This window comes from Homo sapiens, chromosome 3, assembly GCF_000001405.40.
Source record: "Homo sapiens chromosome 3, GRCh38.p14 Primary Assembly".
NCBI classification, from domain to species: domain Eukaryota; kingdom Metazoa; phylum Chordata; class Mammalia; order Primates; family Hominidae; genus Homo; species Homo sapiens.
In genome coordinates, this window is record NC_000003.12 from 170,805,300 (window position 1) to 170,828,168 (window position 22,869).

A 22,869-nucleotide genomic window follows, 5' to 3' on the forward strand; every position below is an offset into this window, starting at 1 on the left:
CCCACTATTGTGTATCTACCCAGAGGAACAGAAGTCATTATTTGAAAAAGATACTTGCACATGCATGTTTATAGCAGCACAATTCACAATTGCAAAAATATGGAAGCAGCCCAAATGCCCATTAATCAACAAGTGGATAAAGAAACTGTAATATATATATATGATGGAATATTATGCAGCCATTAAAAAGGAATGAATTAACAGCATTTGCAGTAACCAGGATGAGATTGGAGACTATTATTTTAAGTGGAGTAACTTAGGAATGGAAAATCAAACATCGTAAGTTCTCACTGATATGTGGGAGCTAAGCTATGAGGATGTAAAAGCATAAGAATGATGCAATGAACTTTGGGGACTTAGGGGGAAGAGTGGGAGGGGGTGAGGGAAGGAAGACTACAAATATGGTGAAGTGTATACTGCTCAGGTGATGGGCCCACCAAAATCTCACAAATCACCGCTAAAGAACTTACTCATGTAACCAAATACCACCTCTACCCCAATAAGTTATAGAAAAACGAAATAAAAATAAAAAGAGTTTTGCAGTACTGTGAAATACTGGAGAAACATCAACAGTGTTTCCTACTATTACCTATGTAAATAATACCAGGGAAGTGTGCATTTCTGAAAGAGATAGCCCAATGACTTCAGAATAATGAATGGTAAAATGATGAGATTTATTGCCAAGTATTTCTTTTTAATTTTCTTTCTTTTTTTCTTTCTTTTTTTTTTTTTTTTTTTTTTTTTGAGACAGAGTCTTGCTCTGTCATCCAGGCTGGAGTACAGTGGTGTGATCTCAGCTCAGCCTCCACCTCCCGGGTTCAAGCAATTCTCCTGCCTCAGCCTCCCGAGTAGCTGGGGTTACAGGCACATGCCGCCATGCCCACTGCTTTTTGTATTTTTAGTAGAGACAAGGTTTCACCATGTTGGCCAGGATGGTCTTGATCTCTTCACCTTGTGATCCACCCACCTGGGACTCCCAGAGTGCTGGGATTACAGGCGTGAGCCACCGCGCCTGGCCTATTGCCAAGTATTTCAAAGTACCCTGAATAAGTCAAGATATCTTATATAAGGTGAAGGTCAAGTGATGTCTCCTAGCTGAGTCAACTGCCCCTAGAACTGAAGAGTTTTCCCTCAAGCATTTAGATGAGAGTAAATCAACAGAAAACTTGAAATCTCTCTCTCCCAAGCAAAGGCTTAGGGTATTGATAAGACACTGGGGAAGGCAAGGACAGACCTCAAATGGCACTTATTCCCAATTATAGTCCTTTCTGGCACTGCAGGTGTTCCTGTGATTAATATGTATTTTTTACCAACGTCCTTCAAGGAACAACTCTGGGAGAGGCTCTGTGGAGGAAGCACATAGCATGAGCCTTCAGTCAAAATAGGTGCAACGTAAACAGTTCAATGCTGGAGAAAAACTTTGTTGACTTGCCAAGTATCACTGAGCTGAGGACAGTGTGCTCCACATGGTGACATATAAGTAATAAACTCCCACAGCTGAGAGATTAGTCTTTGCTTCTTTCTTCCCTGATGAACAAAGATAGATTGTTATTTAAATTCCTGAGGAATGAAAACCTTTGGCTATTCTGTGAGTTCCTCCTCTGGAGAAACTGAAGCCAATGGCCAGTGGCAAATTTGGCTCTGAGCCTGAATTTGGAACACCTCTGAGATGCACAAATACTGAACAAAATATGCAGAAACCATATTCCATGCTTACCTTGGCCCCAGACAGACATCACATAAACACCTGAGTCTTCGCTGAAACTCAGGGAAGAAGATAGAATAGAGAGGAGAGGAAACTCCACCAGAATGAAGAGCTATTTTCCTGGTAACATCAGGCTGTGGTGAGCTGCAGACCAGTAGCTTAATCATTTCAAACCTCATTTACTCCATTTCAAAAATGGAGACACTAATTTGTGATACCAGTCTAACTCCACAGAGAAATTCTCCAAAGAATATTAAATAAGAGACATCTATAAAGTAGACCAATTATCCTATAGTCAAGATAAAAAAAACTTTAGAAGTACAGTCAGTGTCCTCCAGTTAGCCATGAAAAATTCACTGGGGCTCCTGCAGTGTGACCTTGGACTCCAGCTGTATTCTTTCAAGAGGGTACCTTTGACTCCACAGTTGACTTTCCTGCCGTTCAGTGTCTTCTTCACTGTTTCTCATCTCTGTGCCCTGTTGCAAATAACTCATTCAAGCCATGGATCTCTTTTCTTGTATCCTTATAACTTCCCCTGGCAGATACCCTGCAACGTGTTGCCAAAGGCGTCTGCCTTTTTTTCATCAAGGTGTTTCTCCATTTTTCAGCGACTATTTCCTTGGCAATCACATGCACACACACATACACACAAACTCACACAAAAAATAACTGTCTCCAACCTCTACTATAGGTTTAAAAAAACCTTTTGGCCAGGTGCGGTGGCTCACGCCTGTAATCCCAGCACTTTGGGAGGCTGAGGCGGGTGGATCACGAGGTCAGGAGATCGAGACCATCCTGGCTAACATGGTGAAACCCCATCTCTGCTAAAAATACAAAAAAATTAGCCAAGCGTGGTGGCGGGTGCCTGTAGTCCCAGCTACTCGGGAGGCTGAGGCAGGAGAATTGCGTGAACCCTGAAGGCGGAGCTTGCAGTGAGCCGAGATCGTGCCACTGCACTCCAGCCTAGGTGACAGAGCGAGACACTGTTTCAAAAAAAAAAAAAAAAAAAAAAAGACTTTTAAAATAAATGTTAGTGGGGAGACAAATTATCTTAGTGAGGTGGTGGTGGGATTTGTTATTGTGATGACATTCCCAAACTATAGATCCTAGGAAGAGAACAAAATTAAATCAGAGTGTCTGATATGGTTTGGCTATGGCCCCACCCAGTTCTCATCTTGAGTTGTAATTCCCATAATCCCCACATGTTGTGGGAGCGACCCGGTGGGAGGCAATTGAATCACGGGGGTGATTTCCTCCATGCTGTTCTCATGATAGTGAGGGAGTTCTCATGAGATCTGATGGTTTTACAAATGTCTGGTATTTCCCCTGCTGGCACTCATTCTCTCTCTTGCTGCCCTGTGAAGAGGTGCCTTCCACCATGATTATAAGTTTCCCGAGGGCTCCCCAGCCATGCGGAACTGTGAATCAATTAAACCTCATGTCTTTATAAATTACCCAGTCTTGGGTATTTCTTCATAGCAGTGTGAGAACGAACTAATACAGTGTCTCTGTAGCAAATTAACAAATTGAAAAAGTAAACAAAAACAAAAAAACCTATATTTAATCTAGTGGAGAAGAAAAGAAGCCATGTGCATAAATCACTAGCCCTTTTTCAAGTGCAGTGTCTTGGAGGATCCTAGAGACAGACTTCCTGGGTTCAAACCCTGGTTCTGCTGTGTATCAGTCTTGTGGCCTTGGGCAAGTTATTTAACCTCTCTAGGCCTCAATTTCCATCTACAGATAATGTAAAGTACTAGTATTAATCCATAGGCTTATTTTAAGGGTTAAATAGAATAACATATTCAGGACACACATATATGCCTGGCACATAATAAACATTTGTACATATTAGTTATTATTAAGGTGAATTGGGTTTGAGAGATTGGTTTGTTTAAACAAAGATAATTAAAAGCTACTTGAAGGTAGAATAAAAGAGCTGTATGTTTGTGAGGTATTATGGGCTTAACAAAGTGCCTGGCACCACGTAAAAAGAACAAAGATATTATAACTACCAAGACATAGCCAAAAACTCAGTTGGCTGGAAGAGAGTGCTAAAAAGCTCTGTCCCTTATGAGCACAGCTGCGGGACTGCAAGGGCGTACGGTTGAGAGTGCGCGATAGGTGAGCGAATTATGTCAACCATATAAAACCTACCTGCGCTAATGGTAGGACAACAATATTGTTCTAGTTTGCAAAGATCAGCATATTCTCCAGACAGAGAACACTGCTAAAAAGACAGTAGCATAATGCATCTCTCTGGAATACACACATACAACCCTCTCCTCCACGTCCCAACCAAGGTAATCAAGTTCTTTCATTGTAAAGAGTGCAATGAAAATGCCAGAGGCATCATCAAATTGTGAATCATATAATGCCAAAAGGTACCCAGGGATGACCTCACCTAGCCCCATTTGTGGGAGGAGGAAATGGGGGTGGGTGGAGGTTGCTGACAGAACAGTTGTCCCGAGGCCACACAGCCAGTGATCGGCAGAGCTGGACTAAGAAGGCTTACTGATTCTAACTCTTCGCTGTGCTACACTGTCTCCCATTCCCACACCCATCTCCACCCACCTCAAAATCTTAAACCAGATGGCAAATCCAGCTTCTCCTGGACCCCTAGAAGATACTCCTTCTCTGAGCTGTCACATCCTCGGGGCCTTCTAACGCCTTGTTCACTGCTGCCACCTAGGGAATTTCAGTGAGTTTTCCTCCTTAGGCTGTTGCCTTAGGTGCTCAACAATGGCCATGCACCTCCGTCCTATTCAAGGCCTATCTCCTTAATTAATCATCCAAGTCACTTCATGCTCAGCTCACCAATTAGCAGAGCTATTCACAGTGCAGGCATTCAGATGATACACATCTGACCTTGCTGATGAACACATCTTTTTGTTTGTTCTTTGAAATATTGTTAGGGAACTACTCAAATGCTTTGGGTTTAAAAATATTACTCCAATAATACTGAGTAGTTGCTGAGTTCTAGTTTAATATCTGATTCTTTTCAAGGTGCTGGTGAGAAGGAGCTCATCTACTTCATCCCCAGCATTGCAAGCAGGAGAATATCAGACCTATTTACTCAGGTTCAATGTGTCCAGATCTATTAACTGAAGTTCAGTGTTAGTCATACTTCCACTTTCCCCTGACCACTCCCTCTTTCCTCATTTTATAGCCAGATGCTAGCGTTTAGCAATAAAGTAGCCATTCATTCCCTCAACCTTAATTACTTGATAGTATCCATTGAAACAGAAACACACATGAACTAAATCCCTAGTGATGAAGTCCATTGCTTGACCATAAAAATGATAAAACAGACTCCTGACAAACAATAACAGTCCAGGTTGACTTCCTATGCAATTAAAACCAGACTCCTGGAATTTCCAATTCAAGAACAGAATACATGGAAATAATCAGAGTTGATTATTTTTCTAAGCAGGGAAGGTTAGAAAGCTTCCTGTTTTAGAATGTAAGCACTCTTTTCCAGCTTCATCATTATACCATGCCACATAAAGATATGACTATACCCCTTTTCACTATTCTTTCAGTTTTTAAAGGTCTGATTAGTAGTACTATAGCCCTGAGTATTTCTCCATAGATTCAATTATCTCCCTATGCACAGTATAGCATAGTGGTTTAAATACTCGGGCTTAGGGGCAATTAGACCTAGGTTCCAAACCAGGCTCTACTTGGGTGTGTAATCTTGCAAAAATTTCTTAACATTCCTAAGCTTCAGGTGCCTCATCTATGAAATGGCAGTAAAAATACTAACTTCACGGTAAATTTTCTGTGAGAATTGAAGATATAAAAGTTTGGTGTTGAGCACATTGCTTGGCCTATAGTAAGTAATCAGTAAAAGTTAGCTGGTATTGTAATTATCATCGTCATCATTCATATAACCATTGCCAATGTAAGATCCTCAATTACAAGGAGAAGCCAGAGAAAAGGGAAGGAGATTTCAAGTAGTTCTGGTAGACAGTGGCTTTGTAGCTAGGACTAAAAAATACATTCAATTTTAAGTCAGAATGCCTGAATTTAAATCCCAGATCTATATGAAGGTACTTAGCTTCTCTGGTCCTCGGTTTCCTTATCTGTAAAATGGAGGTGGTAATAGCAACTGGCAGATTGTTGTAAAAATTAAATGAGATAATGACACTGAACGTTTCAAGCCCAACACCTGCCCCAATGGCAGGCAAGCTTTCTTGCTTTTGCCTAATGAATATTTTAGGGCCCTTGCCCATGGTCTAACTTCTGCTTCTGACTGTCACCTCCTGCAGATGAGATGAGGGTGGCAAATCTGGATGCAGGACGCTCTGGGAGAACCTGGCAATCACACTTTCAATCTTTTGATCCGATAATCCCAAATACAAAGAAGAAGGCCCTCAGCAGTTCTCTATTAGGTATAAAAGGGAAGAAAGCCAGTTACAATGGCTGGAAGACCTTAGAGGAAAGGAGGCCCCGGGAACATGGGGACTAACAGCAAATCCTGGTACTGGCCACAAGCCACAAATTTGTGTAGGGGTAGGGAAGAGGATAGGGGATGGCTGGAGCCTGAGACCTGGTGTTTCCTATGATCAGTGCACCTAGCTTGATGACTCATGTTCTTCTAGCTTTTGGCAGCCTAGACTGGTATGTCACTGAAATTTAAAAGCTCCCTGAAATATAGGCAGCATTTTCTCTCCAGCTGTATTTTGAAAAGATGACACAATTTGGATGCAACCTTGTTTTCCAACCTGAAGCAATATTCAGACAGTGTGTTGATGTTTTTAAGTCAGTAGGTGTGTCTGTTTAGTATGTGTGTGCATGCGCGTAAAACGCTCTCCCTCGTGATGCAAAACATGCCCTTTTTCTAATGCCCACGAAAGAAAGTTATCTTAAAGTGAACAATTATTTGTTTGGGATGTCACACTCCAGAACTCTCCACCAGCTAGTCTATTGGGCCCGCTAGCTTCACAGAAGTCAAGGCCAGGTTAATGCATACTATATTATTAGCGAAATAACTAGGTCTTTAACACCTCTCCCTCCAAAAAACAAACACACAAAACAGCTTTAACTTTCATCCCTCTCCAATACCACACTGAATGCCCCACCCTAAGCCATAGCCCTATAACCTCCTCCTCCCCTCTCCTCTTCTGAATGAGAAACCATGAGTGCCCCCTAGTGGTTCAATGGCCGTAATTGCACTCCCCAGCTTTTTGTTTGCCTAATTACTAAGTTTTACCAGCAGGGTTGCAGCCAAGTTCAAGTGTCAAGTTCAAGAACATTTTTGTACTGCCATGTGGTGATTCTGTTGCAGCTAATAAAGAGCTTAAAAGTCTTTGGGTCTGTGAAGCATAATCTCAGCTTTTTCTGTTTGGCGGATCTTCTTAGGTTCTCCTTGGTTCTGCACAGCTGATAATGTGAGAGGGGTTGCTGCTCTCCTCTTGCCGCAACCCCCACCCCAGGCCTTCTCACTCCCAAAACCTACCAAAACGTACCAAGCTGCCTCTTTGAATCTGCTGGCGTGGTAAGGGGAATGGTGTGGCGCATGTGAAAGAGATTGTCCCAAATGGGCAGAACCTTGGGACCCCAGCAAAATCCTGTGTTTAAGTTCTGGCCCAATTGCCAAAGTTCATCCCCAGTTCTTGTTTCAGACTAGCTCAGAAATTCGTCTCATTGATCCCTTTAAGGGCTTTTGTATGCGACTCTGCCACATCAAGAAAATAGCTCTACTACCACCCACTCAGAATATTTGCAGAATTTGCTTTCTTGAGATACGATCATAGCAAAAGCCATGCAGGAATCCCCACTTACCACAGAGGTCCATTTCCAGACATCTCATTGTGACCCCACTCCTCTGATGGCTGCAGACTCAGTCCCCAGAGGAGGAGCTCCTTGAGGCAGGGGTTGAAACATTTTTATAAATTATTATCCCCAGCATGTGGCACAGGGCCCAACATGTAGTAGGTGATCACAAAATTTTCTGTCAGGGAAAGCGTTAAAGTACTGAACTACTCTCCCAGTCCCCAAGCCCATTCTGATGTTAAACTCCTAATTCCCAATGTGACTGTTTTTGGAGTTCAAGCCTTTAGGGAGGTAATTAAGATTAAGTGAGGTCCTAAGGGTTGGTCTATAATCTGAAGGACTGGGGTTCTTATAGGAAGGAGAAGAGACACCAGAAATTTCTTTCCTTGCGTGCTCACAGAAAAAGGGTTATGTGAGGACACAGGAATAAAGTGGCTGTCTACAAAGAACAGGAAGAGAGGCCTTACCAGAAACCAACCTGATCACACCATGATCTTGGACTTCCAACCTCCAGAACTGTGAGAAAACACATTTCTGTTGTTTAAGCCATCCAGTCTCTGGTATTTTGTTAATGGCAGCCCTAGCAAACTAATACAGAAAGGGAAGCTCTTTAATGAGATTCCTGCAACCAGACCATGGCACAGTTCTAAATTCCAAAGAAGGAGGGAGGACAGACACTAACACGTGTTGAGAGCTGACGGATGTGGCAGCACTGAAGCAGCTGTTCCTGGAAATTCACCAGTTGTCTTCTGATCTAAAAACACTCCTGGGGAAGCTCGTGAATACCCACGGGTGAAGTGTTTTCCCCTGTACTATTCTCCCTACTAGCCATTCCCCAGTGCCTGGCTTTCAGTGATCTCTGGGTATGTGAACTCGAAACCAGCATTTCAGTAGGGAAGATGTAGTCAGGCAGAAGAACGTGCTCCTGTCTACCCAAGTGATGCTCCTAAGTGTCTCCATGAATGTCTATGAGTACCCAGGAATGAATGTTGTGTTTCTCATCCTGCATTGGATTTTACAGCCTTCATTAAATTTTGACCAACAAAATTGAGTGAGAAAAATCAGGCTTCCTGCAAGGAATGAGCTAAAACCAGTGTCGGGTTCTCACTGTGAACCTTGCATTTCCCTTTAATAACAGACATCAGACCACCTGCAAAAACATTACGTCTCACTAAGCCAGGTAAGAGTGAAACTAGAGAAAAGTAGAGGAAATGCCTTAAGTCAAAGTTTTGATTTGTAAATCTTAGAGGAGGACATGAAGCCCATGGATAAGCAATAGACTGGAAGAGTACAAAATGATACAAGAGGCAGTTTGCCTACCCCAGAGGAACAGATCCCCTGCGTAGAAAAGAATAGCACTGAGGAAGGGCTTTATGTCCTACCCATTCCTCCTCTAGCCCCCAGCCATTCTTAGAGAAGGGAGAGGTGGCAAAAAAAACTCATAAGAAAGTTTGAGATATCTAAGAATAGAAGCTTTGGGGCATGTGACTGAAGTTCAGGAGGGCAGCAGCCATTATGCAGCTTCCCCAAATGTAACTTAAAGAATGGCTGCAAAGACTATCCAGGCAGACAAGGCTGAGGTGATCTCATGGAGTTCCCTCGGAGGCTCATGGAGCAGCCAGTTATTTCCCAGAGGGGCTTAGAAGTCTAGAGAGAGAGCCGAGCCCAAAAAAGCTTAGTCTGTTCAGCCAATTCCCTTGGTGACCTAATGGGAATCAGAGCACACTAGCAAGGACAATGTCAGTGATGAAGGCTACAGGGACTTTATGCCCTCCGTGGCCTCTCTCTATTCAGTCCAGTGCCACCTGAAAGCTTCTTGGAATTTACCTGCAATGCTGGATAAAGAATTGGGGTCCTACATTAGCTGTCCCCAGAACCACCATACACAGAAATGCATACTATTCACTGCACAGGGACCCCTAGCTTAAGAAGCAGGTGTAGGCAGAAATCTAGTTTGTGTTGGCGCGGGGCTGCACCCTCCTGGAAGGGGATCTTTTTCTAATTTGCACAATGATGCCATAGGTTAGTGGCAGCTTGACTGAGCAAAACTTGATTTGACAGAGGTCCCTCTGAAGTGACTGAAAAGTTTTCACCACAAGCAGATTGAGGAACTAAGTAGAAATTAAGTTGGCGTATGAAAGAATAAAGTTAATGTCTCTTGCACATCTGAGTCTGTGGCCTGAGATTTATGACCACTATAAAGAAAAATATGAAGAAACCAACTCCTCCTCAAAAGAATGCATCTCTCTCTCTCTCTGTCTCTCTCTCTCTCTCTGCCTCTCTCTCTCTCTGGATGGCCTCACTCTCTTGCCCAGGCTGGAGTAAAGTGGCGTGATCACAGCTCACTGCAGCTTCAATCTCCTGGGTTCAAGCAATCCTCCCAACTCCCAGCTTCCCGAGTAGCTGGGACTACAGACACAGCACCACATCTGGCTAACTTTTTTTGTAGAGATGGGGTTTTGCCATGTTGCCCTGGTCTTGAATTCCTGGACTCAAGCCATCCACCTGCTTCGCCTTCCAAAGTGCTGGGATTATAGGCCTGAGCCATTGGACCCAGCTCAATTTTTATAATGATTAATATTTTGGTATATTTTCTTCCAGTCTTTTTCTGTATGCATTTTTCCATAGTTAATAACACATAGAACCTACAACTTGGTATCATGAATTTTCTGCTTAAAACTGTATCACAGGGGAAATCATGTAGACCAGGGGTCGCCAACCCCCGGGCCGAGGACTTTTACCAGTCTGTGGCCTGTTAGGAACCACACGGCACAGCAGGAGGTGAGCGGCAGGCAAGCTTCATCTGTGTTTACAGTCACTCCCGTGGCTCATATTACCACCTGAGCTCCGCCTCCTGTCAGATCAGCAGCGGCATTAGATTTTCATAGAGCAGGAGCTCTACTGTGAACTGTGCATGGGAGGGATCTAGGTTGTGTGCTCCTTATGAGACTCTAATGCCTCATGATCTGAGGTGGGACAGTTTCATCCTGAAACAATCCCCCATCTGCCTCTCCATCCATCGAAAAATTATCTTCCATGAAACCAGTCCCTGGTGCCAAAAAGTTTGGGCACCACTGACACAGATGGTAGATCTTGACCTCATCTGTATTTTTGAAACATCTGAGTTACTTACACAAGTGCTATGCCCCATGGCCACATCCCAGAGCAATAGAATGCCACCATTAACATGCCAAACTTAACCAAACTTAACATGCCACCAGAATCACTAACTTAAGGCACAGATGTATTCAGAGTTGAGAAGTTGCCTGAGGACTGAATCTTTGAGACTCCTTACTCAGATAGGTACAAATATTAATGTGATGTAAATCACGTGGGGATGGTGCTCAAATGCTGATGCTGATTCAGCAGCGCTAGGGCCTGAGATTCTACATTTCTCACATGCTCGAAGTTGATGTTGCTGGCCAGTGGGAGGACTGCATTTTGAGTACCATGGGCTCAGAGGTCCAGAAGATGAAAAAGCAGCAGAAAGATAATTTCTACTAAATTTCTACTAAAGCATTTTCCAAGTCATTACAAACTATTTTTTAACTATTGTTTTTAATATTTAGATATTTCATAGAATAAATAGACCACATTTTTTCTCTTAAACATTTCCTACTGTTGGCCATTTAAATTGTTTTCAATTTTGCTGTTGTAACTAAGGAAGGAGAAACCTCTTTGTGCATACTTCTTTGTCCTCAACTTTTAAATGAGAAACTAATAAAGGAAAATGATGAGTAGTGGAGCAGGCCCCAGAGTAACACACCCCTGAAGGCCTGACTTCCCTTCCAACATGTGCCAGTGTTACTGTGTCCTCAGGCAAGCTAAGCAATGTTTCTTCACCTCAGTTTTCTTTGCTACAAAATGGGCTTTTTCTTTTCTCATATCCTTGAAATAAAGGGCGTTCATAAAATTATCTGCAACTCAGAACTCCCTCTGTGGAGCTACCGTGTTATTTTTTTGTCACAGCTCAGGGACAATGACCAGGTATGCCAATGGTAATTGCTGGGGCCACCCTCCCCCAAAGCCAACCCAATACAGAACTGCTGATGCCACAGTCATAAACAAACCCTAGGATGTGGCCCACCCTTCAGTGTTTGGATTTCAGTGCCAGGGGTAAGAAATATGAAAGACATGGAAAGAAGCAGCTGCGTTCCAAGACACTCCTTCAGATAAAGTTTCCTTTAAAACATTTTTACCATTCTTCATCAATATTTATAAAGAGATGAATAGATACAGCCACATTCCTCCTGGGCTGTGTCTCAGACACACCTATAATATCTGATCAAAATACAACTATTGTTTGTTGGTTCGGGGAGCACTTTTATTGGCAAGCTTCTTTGAAAATGAGGAGCCAAGTCAGCCCCATGTAGCAAAAAAATAAAATCAAAATCAGTTACATGAGTACAAAAAGATGGATGTAATTTTTTAAGGGCAACATGATGTGGCAGAAAGAGCATGGAATTTAGATTCCTGGATGTGATTCTCAAATTGGTCTCTTGCTGCTAGAGACTCAGAGCAAGTTAATTCACCACTTTGAGCTTCAGTTTCTTCTTCGGGGGGGTATGATGAAAGTTATTATAAACACAGAGAGAATCAGCTTTTCTAGAAAGAGTTCATTGATGTATCTGGCCTCTCAAGCAGGCAGAATGTTAGTTAATACTTGCCAACCTGTTGAGGTATCATGGACCCTTAAGGTTTCATCCAGTATTCATGGTTTAATCTTTGGGAAACACCATGAAGGACACCTAGCTTCTAAATAAGTCTCCCACTAGGTCCCACATGGCAACTGGAATTCCCAAATGACTTCCCTTTTGGGTTAAGGGGGGTGGTTCTCAGTGTGAAGAGACCACCAAACAGGCTTTGTGTGAGCAACATGGCTGTTTATTTCACCTGGGTGCAGGCAGGCTGAGTTCGAAAAGAGAGTCAGAGAAAGGAGATAAGGGTATAGCCATTTTATAGGATTTGGGTAGATAAAGGAAAATTACAGTCAAAGGGGGGTTGTTCTCTGGCGGGCAAAGTGGGGGTCACAAGGTGCTCAGTAGGGGAGCTTTTGAGCCAGGATGAGCCAGGAGAAGGAATTTCACAAGACAATGTCATCAGTTAAGGCAGGAACAGGCCATTTTCACTTCTTTTGTGGTGGAATGTCATCAGTTAAGGCAGGAACCAGCCATCTGGGTGTGTACCTGCAGGTCACAGGGGATATGATGGCTTAGCTTGGGCTCAGAGGCCTGACATTCCTGTCTTCTTATGTTAATAAGAAAAATAAAATGAAATAGTGGTAAAGTGTTGGGATGGTGAAAATTTTTGGGGGTGGTGTGGAGAGATAATGGGCGATGTTTCTCAGGGCTGCTGCAAGCGGTATTAGAGGCAGCGTGGGAACCTAGAGTGGGAGAGATTAAGCTGAAGGAAGATTTTGTGGTAAGAGGTGATGTCGTGGGGTTGTTAGAAGAAACATTTGTCGTGTAGAATTATTGGAGATGGCCTGGATACAGTTTTGTATGAATTGAAAAACTAAATGGAATAAGAGAAGGAGAAAAACAGGTATAAAAGGTCTAAGAATTGGGAGGACCCAGGACATCTGATTAGAGAGTGCCTAAGGAGATTCAGCATAGTCCTGCCAGCAAAGATTATTTATTTACTTCAAGAGTTTACAGTGGCAGTTTGGGGACAGTACCAGGAGATATCAGCTGTGATGGCTTGGAGAAACAGTGTAAACCGGCAGTGTAAACAAGAGCAGGGCATGTATGAGTAGTTGAGAACAGTGAATAGGAGTATGACTAGACAGAAGATAGTAGGGATGACAAGTTTTTTTGGGGCACAGTCTAAGTTGGTCTGGTGTCTGGAATGAGACTGGGGCCTAATAAAAAGGAGTGTCCATACAGGAGCTCAAATGGACTGTACCTTGTGGCATTCTGAGGACAGGTCTGACTTCTGAGAAGGGAAAGTGGTAAAAGTATTGTCCAGTCCTTTTTAAGTTGGTGGCTGAGCTTGGTGAGGTGTGTTTTTAAAAGACCTTTAGTCCGTTCTACTTTTCTTGAAGACGGAGGACCGTAAGGGATATAAAGGTTTCACTGAATACTAAGAGCCTGAAAAACTGCTTGTCTGATTTGACTAATAAAGGCTGGTCCGTTGTCAGACTGTATAGAGGTGGGAAGGCTAAACTGAGGAATTATGTCTGACAGAAGGGAAGAAATGACTGCAGTGGCCTTCTCAGACCCTGTAGGAAAGGCCTGTACCTATCCAGTGAAAGTATCTACCTAGACTAAGAGGTATTTTAGTTATCTGACTCGGGGCATGTTGAGTAAAGCTAATTTGCCAGTCCTGGGTGGGGGCAAATCCTCGAGCTTGATGTGTAGGGAAGGGAGGGGGCCTGAATAATCCCTGAGGAGTAGTAGAATAGCAGATGGAACATTGAGAAGTTATTTCCTTGAGGATAGATTTCCACAATGGAAAGGAAATGAGAGGTTTTAAGAGGCAGGCTAGTGGCTTGTACTATAGCATAGCCTGCCTTTGCTGGTGAGTGGCGATTAGGCCTGGTGGAACTGCCATCAATAAACCAACTGTGATCAGGGTGAGAAACAGGGAAGAAGGAAATGTGGGGAAATGGGGTGAACGTCAGGTGGATCAGAGAGATGCAGTCATGAGGGTCAGGTGTGGTATCAGCAATACTGTGGGAGGCTGGATTGAAGTCCGGGCCAGGAACAATGGTAATTGTGGGAGACTCAACAAAGAGTGAGTACTGCTGAAGGAGCTGGGGAGCAGAAAGTGTATGTGTCAGGTGTGAGGAAGAAAATAGATTTTGGAAATTATGAGAGCTGTAGAGAGTGAGTTGAGCATAGTTTGTGATTTTAAGGGCCTCTAAAAGTATTAGGGCGGCAGCAGCCGCTGCACGGAGACATGATGGCCAGCCTAAAACAGTAAAGTCAAGTTGTTTGAGCAAAAAGGCTACAGGACGTGATCCCGGTCCTTGTGTAAGAATTCTGACTGCACGGCCCTTCACTTCGGCTGTGTGTAATGAAAAGGGTTGGGATGAGTCAGGGAGAGCTAGAGTGGGGGCAGTCTCTAAAGCTGTCTTCAAGGAACAGAAAGAGGAGTGGGGAAAGGATTTAGGATCTATGGGGTCAGCTAGGTTTCCTTTTGTGAGTTTATATAATGGTTTTGTTAGGATGGCAAAACCAGGTATCTAAAGGCGAAAATATCCAACCATGCCCAGGAAGGAAAGGAGTTGTTATTTTGTAGAAGGGGTTGGGGTTTGAGAGATTAGTCCAACACGATCAGCAGGGAGAGCACGTGTATTTTTATGAAGAATTATGCCAAGGTAGGTAACGGATGGAGAAGAAATTTGAGCTTTGGAGAGGGATACCCGATATCCTTTGGAGAATAAATGCTGAAGGAGCAGAAGTGTGTCTTGTTGAGAAGATTCAAAGGAGGGGCTACAAAGAAGAAGGTCATCAATATATTGAATAAGGTGAGAAGCGGAGGGGTAGAAAGAAAGTAAATCATGAGAAAGAGCTTGGCTGAAGTAATGAGGGCTGTCCCTGAAACCTTGCGGCAGCACAGCCCAGGTAAGCTGCTGGGACTGATGGGTGTCAGGGTCAGTCCAGGTGAAAGCAAAGAGAGGCTGGGACGAGGGGTGAAGGGGAATAGTGAAAAAAGCATCTTTAAGATCAAGAATGGAATAGTGAGTTGTGGAGGAAGGTATTGAGGACAAAAGAGTGTACGGGTTGGGCACCGCAGGGTGGATAGGCAAAACAATTTGGGTGATAAGGCGCAGATCCTGAACTAACCTGTAAGACTTGTGCGGTTTTAGGACAGGTAAAATGGGGGAATTGTAAGGAGAGTTTATAGGTTTTAGAAGCCCATGCTGTAGCAGGCGAGTGATAACAGGCTTTAATCCTTTTAAAGCGTGCTATGGGATGGGATATTGGTGTTGAGCGGGGTAAGGGTGATTAGGTTATAATGGGATGGTAATGGGCATGTGATCTGTTGCCAGGGAAGGAGTAGAGATGTCCCATACTTGTGGGTTAAGGTGGGGGGATATGAGAGGAAGACGCGAAGGAGGCTTTGGGTTGGGGAGAAGGGCAGCAGTGAGATGCGGCTGTAGTCCAGGAATAGTCAGGGAAGCAGATAATTTGGTTAAAATATCTCGGCCTAATAAGGGAACTGGGCAGGTGGGGATAACTGAAAAGGAGTGCTTAAAAGAATATTGTCTAAGTTGGCACCAGAGTTGGGGAGTTTTAACAGGTTTAAAAGCCTGGCCATCAATACCCACAACAGTTATGGAAGCAAGGGAAACAGGCCTTTGAAAATAAGGTAATGTGGGGTGGGTAGCCTCCGTATTGATTAAGAAGGGGACGGACTTACTTTCCACTGTGAGAGTTACCCAGAGTGTCTGTAATGGTCTTGTAGGCTTCGAGGCGATCTGGCAGTGGCAGTCTTCAGCTGCTAAGCCGAGATCTGGGAAGCAGTCAGTCAAAGAGCCTTGGGCCAGAGTTCCAGGGGCTCTGGGAGTGGCTGCCAGGTGAGTTGAACAGTCCAATTTCCAGTGGGGTCCCGCACAGATGGGACATGGCTTAGGAGGAATCCCGGGCTGTGGGCATTCCTTGGCCTGGTGTCCAGATTTCTGGCACTTATAGCAAGCTCCTGGGGAAGGCGGTTCTGGAGGAACACCTGGCCACTGCAGTTTAGGTGTTTGGAAGTTCTTGTGTGCTGGAGATGTGGCTGGGGTTTGTCTCACAGTGGAGGCAAGGAATTGCAACTCAGAAATATGTTGCTACTTGGCTGTCTCTATTATTGTACACCTTGAAGGTGAGGTTAATTAAGCCCTGTTGTGGGGTTTCAGGGCCGGAATTTAATTTTTGGAGTTTTATTTAATGTCAGGAGCAGATTGGGTAATAAAATGTATATTGAGAATAAGACGGCCTTTTGACCTTTCAGGGTCTAGGGCTGTAAAGCGTCTCAGGGTTGCTGCTGAACAAGCCATGAACTGGGCTGGGTTTTTCATATTTGATGAAAGAGCCTAAATGCTCAGGATTTGGGAGAGGTCTGATGAAGAAAAAGGAGCATTAACCTTGACTATGCCTTTAGCTTCAGCCACCTTTTTAAGAGGAAATTGCTGGGCAGGTGGGGGAGGGCTACTCACGGAATGAAACTGTAAACCGGACCGGGTATGAGGAGGGGAGGTGATAAAAAGATTATAGGGTGGAGGAGCGGAGGCTGAGGAAGAATTGGGACCTAGCTCGGCCTGGCGAGGAGCAGCCTGGGGAGGAGGGGAGAGGTCAGATGGGTCTGTAGAAAAGGAAGATTAGAAAGACTCAGCGACGCTTGGGGTTGGGACTGAGGGGACAGGCGAGAGGGAAAGAAGGAAGATTTGGGATGAGTTTCACTGGGCACAGAGACTAGGAAGGGACCGATGTGTAAAAGAATGCCTGGACATCAGGCACCTCAGACCGTTTGCCCATTTTAGGACAAGAATTATTTAGATCTTGCAGGATGGAAAAATTGAAAGTGCTGTTTTCTGGCTATTTGGAACTACTGTCGAGTTTGTATTGGGGTCAAGTGGCATTGCAGAAGAAAATAAGGCATTTAGGTTTTAGGTCAGGTGTGAGTTGAAGAGGTTTTAAGTTTTTGAGAACACAGGCTAAGGGAGAAGAAGGAGGAATGGAAGGTGGAAGGTTGCCCATAGTGAAGGAAGCAAGCCCAGAGAAAAGAGAGAGTGGAGACATGGAGGGAAGGGGTTCGGGGGTTCTTACCCTCCAGAAAAGCAGGAAAGGGGTCAGGGCGCAGAGATATGAGGTCGGAGCATGGAAATAAGGGATCAGGAGACAGAGATATAAGAGGGTGGGGAGCGGAAATAAGGGATCAGGGCACAGAGATATAAGAGGTCGGGCCGCAGAAATAAGGGATCAGGGCGCAGAGATATAAGAGGTCGGGGCACAGAAATAAGGGATCGGGGCACAGAGATATGAGGTTGGGGTACTTGCCTCTCCACCAGAAAAGCGGGACTTGCCACTAAGGGTGAAGGAGAAGGGATTGGGGGTTTCTTGCCCCCCAGAAAGGCAGAGAAGGGGTAGAGACATGGAGAGAAGGGGTTGGGGTACTTGCCCCTCCCCTAGAAAAGCGGGACTTGCCGCTAAGGGTGAAGGACCAAGGCAGGCATCCTTGCGTGGTCTGACACCTCTGAAACGTGGGTGAATAATCAGAGAGGTGTCCCTGCAATGATTAAACACCAAGGGAAGGCTGCCTTCCCAGTCCGTGACCGGCGCCGGAGTTTTGGGTCCACAGACAAAACGTGTCTCCTTTGTCTCTACCAGAAAATGAAAGGAATTGAAATTAAGAGAAGGGAGAGACTGAAGAGTGGAAAGGAGAAAGTGGTTGAGGGATAGTGAGAGAGGTTGGAGAAGAGAGTAAGAAGAGGCCACTTACCTGATTTAAAATTGGTGAGATGTTCCTTGGGCTGGTGGGTCTGAGGACCTGAGGTCGTAGGTGGATCTTTTTCACGGAGCAAAGAACAGGAGGACAGGGGATTGATCTCCCAAGGGAGGTCCCCCGATCCGAGTCATGGCACCAAATTTCATGTGAGTCTGTGTGAAGAAATCACCAAACAGGCTTTGTGTGAGCAATAAAGCTTTTAATCACCTGGGTGCAGGCTGGCTGAGTCTGAAAAGAGAGTCAGAGAAGGGAGATAGGGGTGGGGCCGTTTTATAGGATTTGGGTAGATAAAGGAAAATTACAGTCAAATGGGGGTTCTCTGGCAGGCAGAGTGGGGGTCACAAGGTGCTCAGTAGGGGAGCTTCTGAGCCAGGATGAGCCAGGAGAAGGAATTTCACAAGACAGTGTCATCAGTTAAGGCAGGAACAGGCCATTTTCACTTCTTCTGTGGTGGAATGTCATCAGTTAAGGCAGGAACTGGCCATCTGGGTGTGTACGTGCAGGTCACAGGGGATATGATGGCTTAGCTTGGGCTCAGAGGCCTGACAAATTCACCATTTTGAGCTTCAGTTTCTTCTTCGGGAGGGTATTATGAAAGTTATTATAAACACAGAGAGAATCAGAGCTTTTCTAGAAAGAGTTCATTGATTTATCTGGCAGAATGTTAGTTAATACTTGCCAACCTGTTGAGGTATCATGGACCCTTAAGGTTTCATCCAGTGTTCATGGTTTAATCTTTGGGAAAGATCATGAAGGACACCTAGCTTCTAAATAAGTCTCCCACTAGGTCCCACATGACAACTATAATTCCCAAATGACTTCCCTTTTGGGTTAAGGGGGTGGTTCTCATCCCTCACTTACATAAGAATTGCCTGGGCTACTCGAGAGGCTGAGGCAGGAGAATTGCTTGAACTTGGGAGGCAGAGGTTGCAGGTTGCAGTGAGCCGAGATTGCACCACTGCACTCCAGCCTGGGCGACAGAGCAAGACTCCATCTCAAAAAAAATGAATTGCCTGGGAAGAATTTTTTAAATGCCAATGCCCAGGCCTTCCCTTCAACAAAGGCCATGCTTTAGTATTGTGTACAAATCTCCCAGGTGACCCTATTATATGGCCTGAGCTCAGAACCACTGAGTTTGGTCTTAAGACACTAATTGAAAATCCACGGCTGGTAAACCTGTAAGCCGTTTTTCTTAAAATGACCCTTGTTTCAAGAAATGTATCAGTTTAGCCACTCAGTTCCTTGGGAGTGCACCACGGGGACATAAATGGGTGATTCTGGACATGCAGATGATGTACAACAGAGAAAACCCTAGAGCACTATAGAAGCACTGTGGCCCTACACCAAGTCTGAGAAAAGGAAGAGGTAACAGTGATAATAAACTCATTCATCAGCAACGTCACCATCAACTACCATTTACAGAGTCACTAGTAGTTGCCAAGTACTGTATACCAAGCATTTCACATTTTATTTTTATACTCATGTGGAGACTGGAGACAGGGTAGGGGTAGTAGGTGTGGAGTAGTGAGACGGTACAACTTTTCTGGAAAACAATTTGGCAAGATGGGTTAAGAGCCCACAAAATGTTCATATTCTTTGGCCAAGGAGTTGTCACTTCAAGTGACTGTCCCATGGAAAGGGCCACAAATGCAGGTGGTGGTTTTGTTCACAAAGATGGCCATCACAGCATGGATTATATTAGTAAGTACTGGGACTAACCTAAATATACAACAAATGAAGGGTGATTACATGCATATTACTACCTTACACACTGGAGTATAGAATGTGACCATGAAAGATGTTTTCCTCTATGAATAAATTTTATAACAAGGAAAATTTACACAACAAAATATTAAGTAAAATAAAGCAAGACATAAAGTAGTATCTACAGTGCAATTCAAAGTTCCAAGAATGGCATATATCTGTAAAACTTGTTACATTACAAAGTTGGTTGCAGCTGGCAAGACTCCATTTGTATCCATATGGTCTTCAGAAAACACCCTTCAAATGGTTAAAAAGTATATTGCTGGCCAGGCGTGGTGGCTCACGCCTGTAATCCCAGCACTCTGGGAGGCCGAGGCGGGTGGATCAAGAGGTCAGGAGATCGAGACCATCCTAGCTAACACGGTGAAACCCCGTCTCTACTAAAAATAGAAAAAATTAGCCGGGCATGGTGGCGGGCGCCTGTAGTCCCAGCTACTCGGGAGGCTGAGGCAGGAGAATGGCATGAACCCGGGAGGCGGAGCTTGCAGTCAGCCGAGATTGTGCCACTGCTCTCCAGCCTGGGCGACAGAGCGAGACTCCGTCTCAAAAAAAAAAAAAAGTATATTGCCAGCCAGGCACGGCGGCTCACGCCTGTAATCCCAGCACTGTGGGAGGCCAAGGTGGGTGGATGACCTGAGGTCAGGAGGTCGGGACCAGCCTGGCCAAATTGGCGAAACTCCATCTCTACTAAAAATACAAAAAAATCAGACGGGCGTGGTGATGGGTGCCTGTAGTCCCAGCTACTTGGGAGGTTGAGGTAGGAGAATTGCTTGAACCCAGGACGTGGAGGTTGCAGTGAGCTAAGATTGTGCCATAGTACTCCAGCCTTGGCAACAGAGCAAGACTCTGTTGTTTTTGTTTGTTTGTTTGTTTGTTTTAAAAAAAAGGTATATAGCCAAAGTTTTTTTAAGAGCAAGCATCTTAATTGATCATGTTGTACTGCTCTGGAGTCATCCCTGTTTTAGTTCGTGTACTAAGGCTTGACTACACATTCCCCCGCCTCCAAATAAAGCCAGGCAGGGAGGCAGATGTAAATAGTCAGCGGAAATGGGAAACAAATGACAACCGATTTGTAATACAACAAAAATATTTGTTTCACAAGTTTTTCTCACTACTGGAATCAGGTTTCTCCCTGGGTGTGAAAAGATGAAGAACTGAGAAAGAAGGAAAGATGAGCAGAGGGGAAACCAAAAGGAAGTGGAGAATGTGGGAGGGGGTAAAGCAAATAGAATTACAATTCCGCCTGTGGAAGGAATTCCAAATCTCCCAGTCTATGGCAGAATCTGGTTTTTCCTCACACAGCCAGCTTTGCTTTGAGGTTGTTGCTCATTTGCTGTCACTTTGCTTCACTGTCCTAGGGGGAGCCTAGCCCAAACTAACCCCACACATTTGTACTGGGGGCGGGGGGAGATGGGGGCACATTCTCCTGTTGTCACTTTCTTTTTCTCATCCCTAATCCCAAAGCCAAGGCTTACCCGGTCTTCTGGCCACCTAGATCCTTCCTGTCTCCTTAGCTTAGGACAAGGCTCCAGTTCCAGGTCAGACAGTCCAAGCCTATTCCAATCAGAGGTGGTTTTTTTGTTTAAAAAAAAAAGTTTAAAAAGAGGGGGGAGGTGGAGAGGGAGGATGCCATCTATTAGCATAGTGATACTTTTATCATCCAGTGATTGAGAACATATAGAATGACCAAAGCTACCATATATTCAAAATGGATATTTTTAAAATTACATTTTAGGAATCATAACAGCATCCACAGACTTTTGAAAAATGAAATAGGTGAGGCATTTTGTTCATGTAGCCTATAGACAATGCTTGGCATTTAAAAGGTTTCAAAGACAGGTCAGTACTCTACCTGTGTAGCACCTTCATCTCTATCTAGCCTACTTTCTCACAGTCTGGAAATGAGATCAGCCCTTGTGTTCCTATCCTGCCCCTCTTTGTGAGCTTATGAGTAACCCAAAAGGACACCAAAGGGAGAAGGACGTTAACATTTACTGAACCTGCACTGAATGCCAGGCACTGTGCTGTGAAATAGTTACACTTACCTCCATTTTATAGGTGAGAACAGTGAGGCTGGAGATATTAAGCTAGTAAATGGTAGAACTGGGATTTTGTGACATCAGAGACCTCTTACAATGCAACCCGCTTAAATTATCTAATGTGTTACCTTCCTGAGTAAAATAGCCTTTGTCCTAAGGAAGAAGTTGGGCACCTTAGCAGAACTATTTTTCAATTCACACCACAGACATGGGTATCTAGCTTCTGGGCCTGCTCATTGCAGGCTTATTGGGCTGTTGATTCAGGCTATTTTTATGATATATACATGACATGCCATATAGTAATAATATATATGATAGTGATATAATAGAGAATAATACTATGACAAATATGATATATCATAAAAATAGGAGACACACTTTAATTCTACAGTCTGGAAAGGTAGAATTCAATGAGGGCAACTTACCTAAAATTATGGAAAAGCAAACCTCAAAAAATAAAGAAATTATTGATCCTGTGTCAGGTTGCTGTGCATTTGAATGCTGAAATTGCTCTGTAAGTATTTCAGAGGCAGGCAGGTGATTTTTAGTCTAAAAACCAACTGGTTAAGTTAAATCGGACTCTGTGGTTCTTTGAGAATACCAACACTGTTTAAATATTTCCTGTAATCCAGATGTTTAACTCCTTGCTCAAATCTCTTTGATCAAGGTGAATCCACCTAGGAACATTACAAAATGCAGCCTTTCTTATGACGTTTTTATTGAATATATTTTTTCATCATATCCTGAAGTCACCTCCTGGTGACTTGACTCTTAGTATAATAGCTCTCTTGTTTCAAGACAGATCATATGTACATTTAAATAACTTATACGAGTTTATAAAAATTGCTTAAATGATCCAACTCTCTTCTCTAGCATTAAGAGGTACCACTATTCTCCAGCTTTTGGAACCAATTTTGTGTTTAATGGTTAAAGAACTATTATAGCCTGTAAGGAACTCAGTGCTTTCTACAATTTTTATATTATTTTCACACTCACTTATCACCTCTCACTCCAAACCTCCACTCCTGGTCTCATTTCCATCCCCTCTACTTTTTGCATCACTGCTCTTATCAGCTGCTATCCTCTTCACTACCACTTTGTTCCCATTACAGACACACTACTTTCTTTCTCATTCTCCAGGACATTTCTGTT

At 43.9% G+C, this 22,869-nt stretch overlaps 1 long non-coding RNA gene across 1 annotated transcript in view, besides 1 other annotated feature; it reads left to right on the plus strand.

Annotated features, from left to right (window-relative positions):
- Positions 1–22,869, plus strand: part of LOC105374211 (uncharacterized) — a 69,709-nt gene that overhangs the window by 37,385 nt on the left and 9,455 nt on the right. The window lies entirely within an intron of this gene.
- Positions 12,294–12,871: an enhancer, noted in NCBI's record as "OCT4-NANOG hESC enhancer chr3:170535382-170535959 (GRCh37/hg19 assembly coordinates)". NCBI's record gives its function as "activates a minimal SCP1, AML or CMV promoter by ChIP-STARR-seq in naive H9 embryonic stem cells {active_cell/tissue: H9 hESC(naive)}" and the evidence as "EXISTENCE:reporter gene assay evidence [ECO:0000049][PMID:30033119]".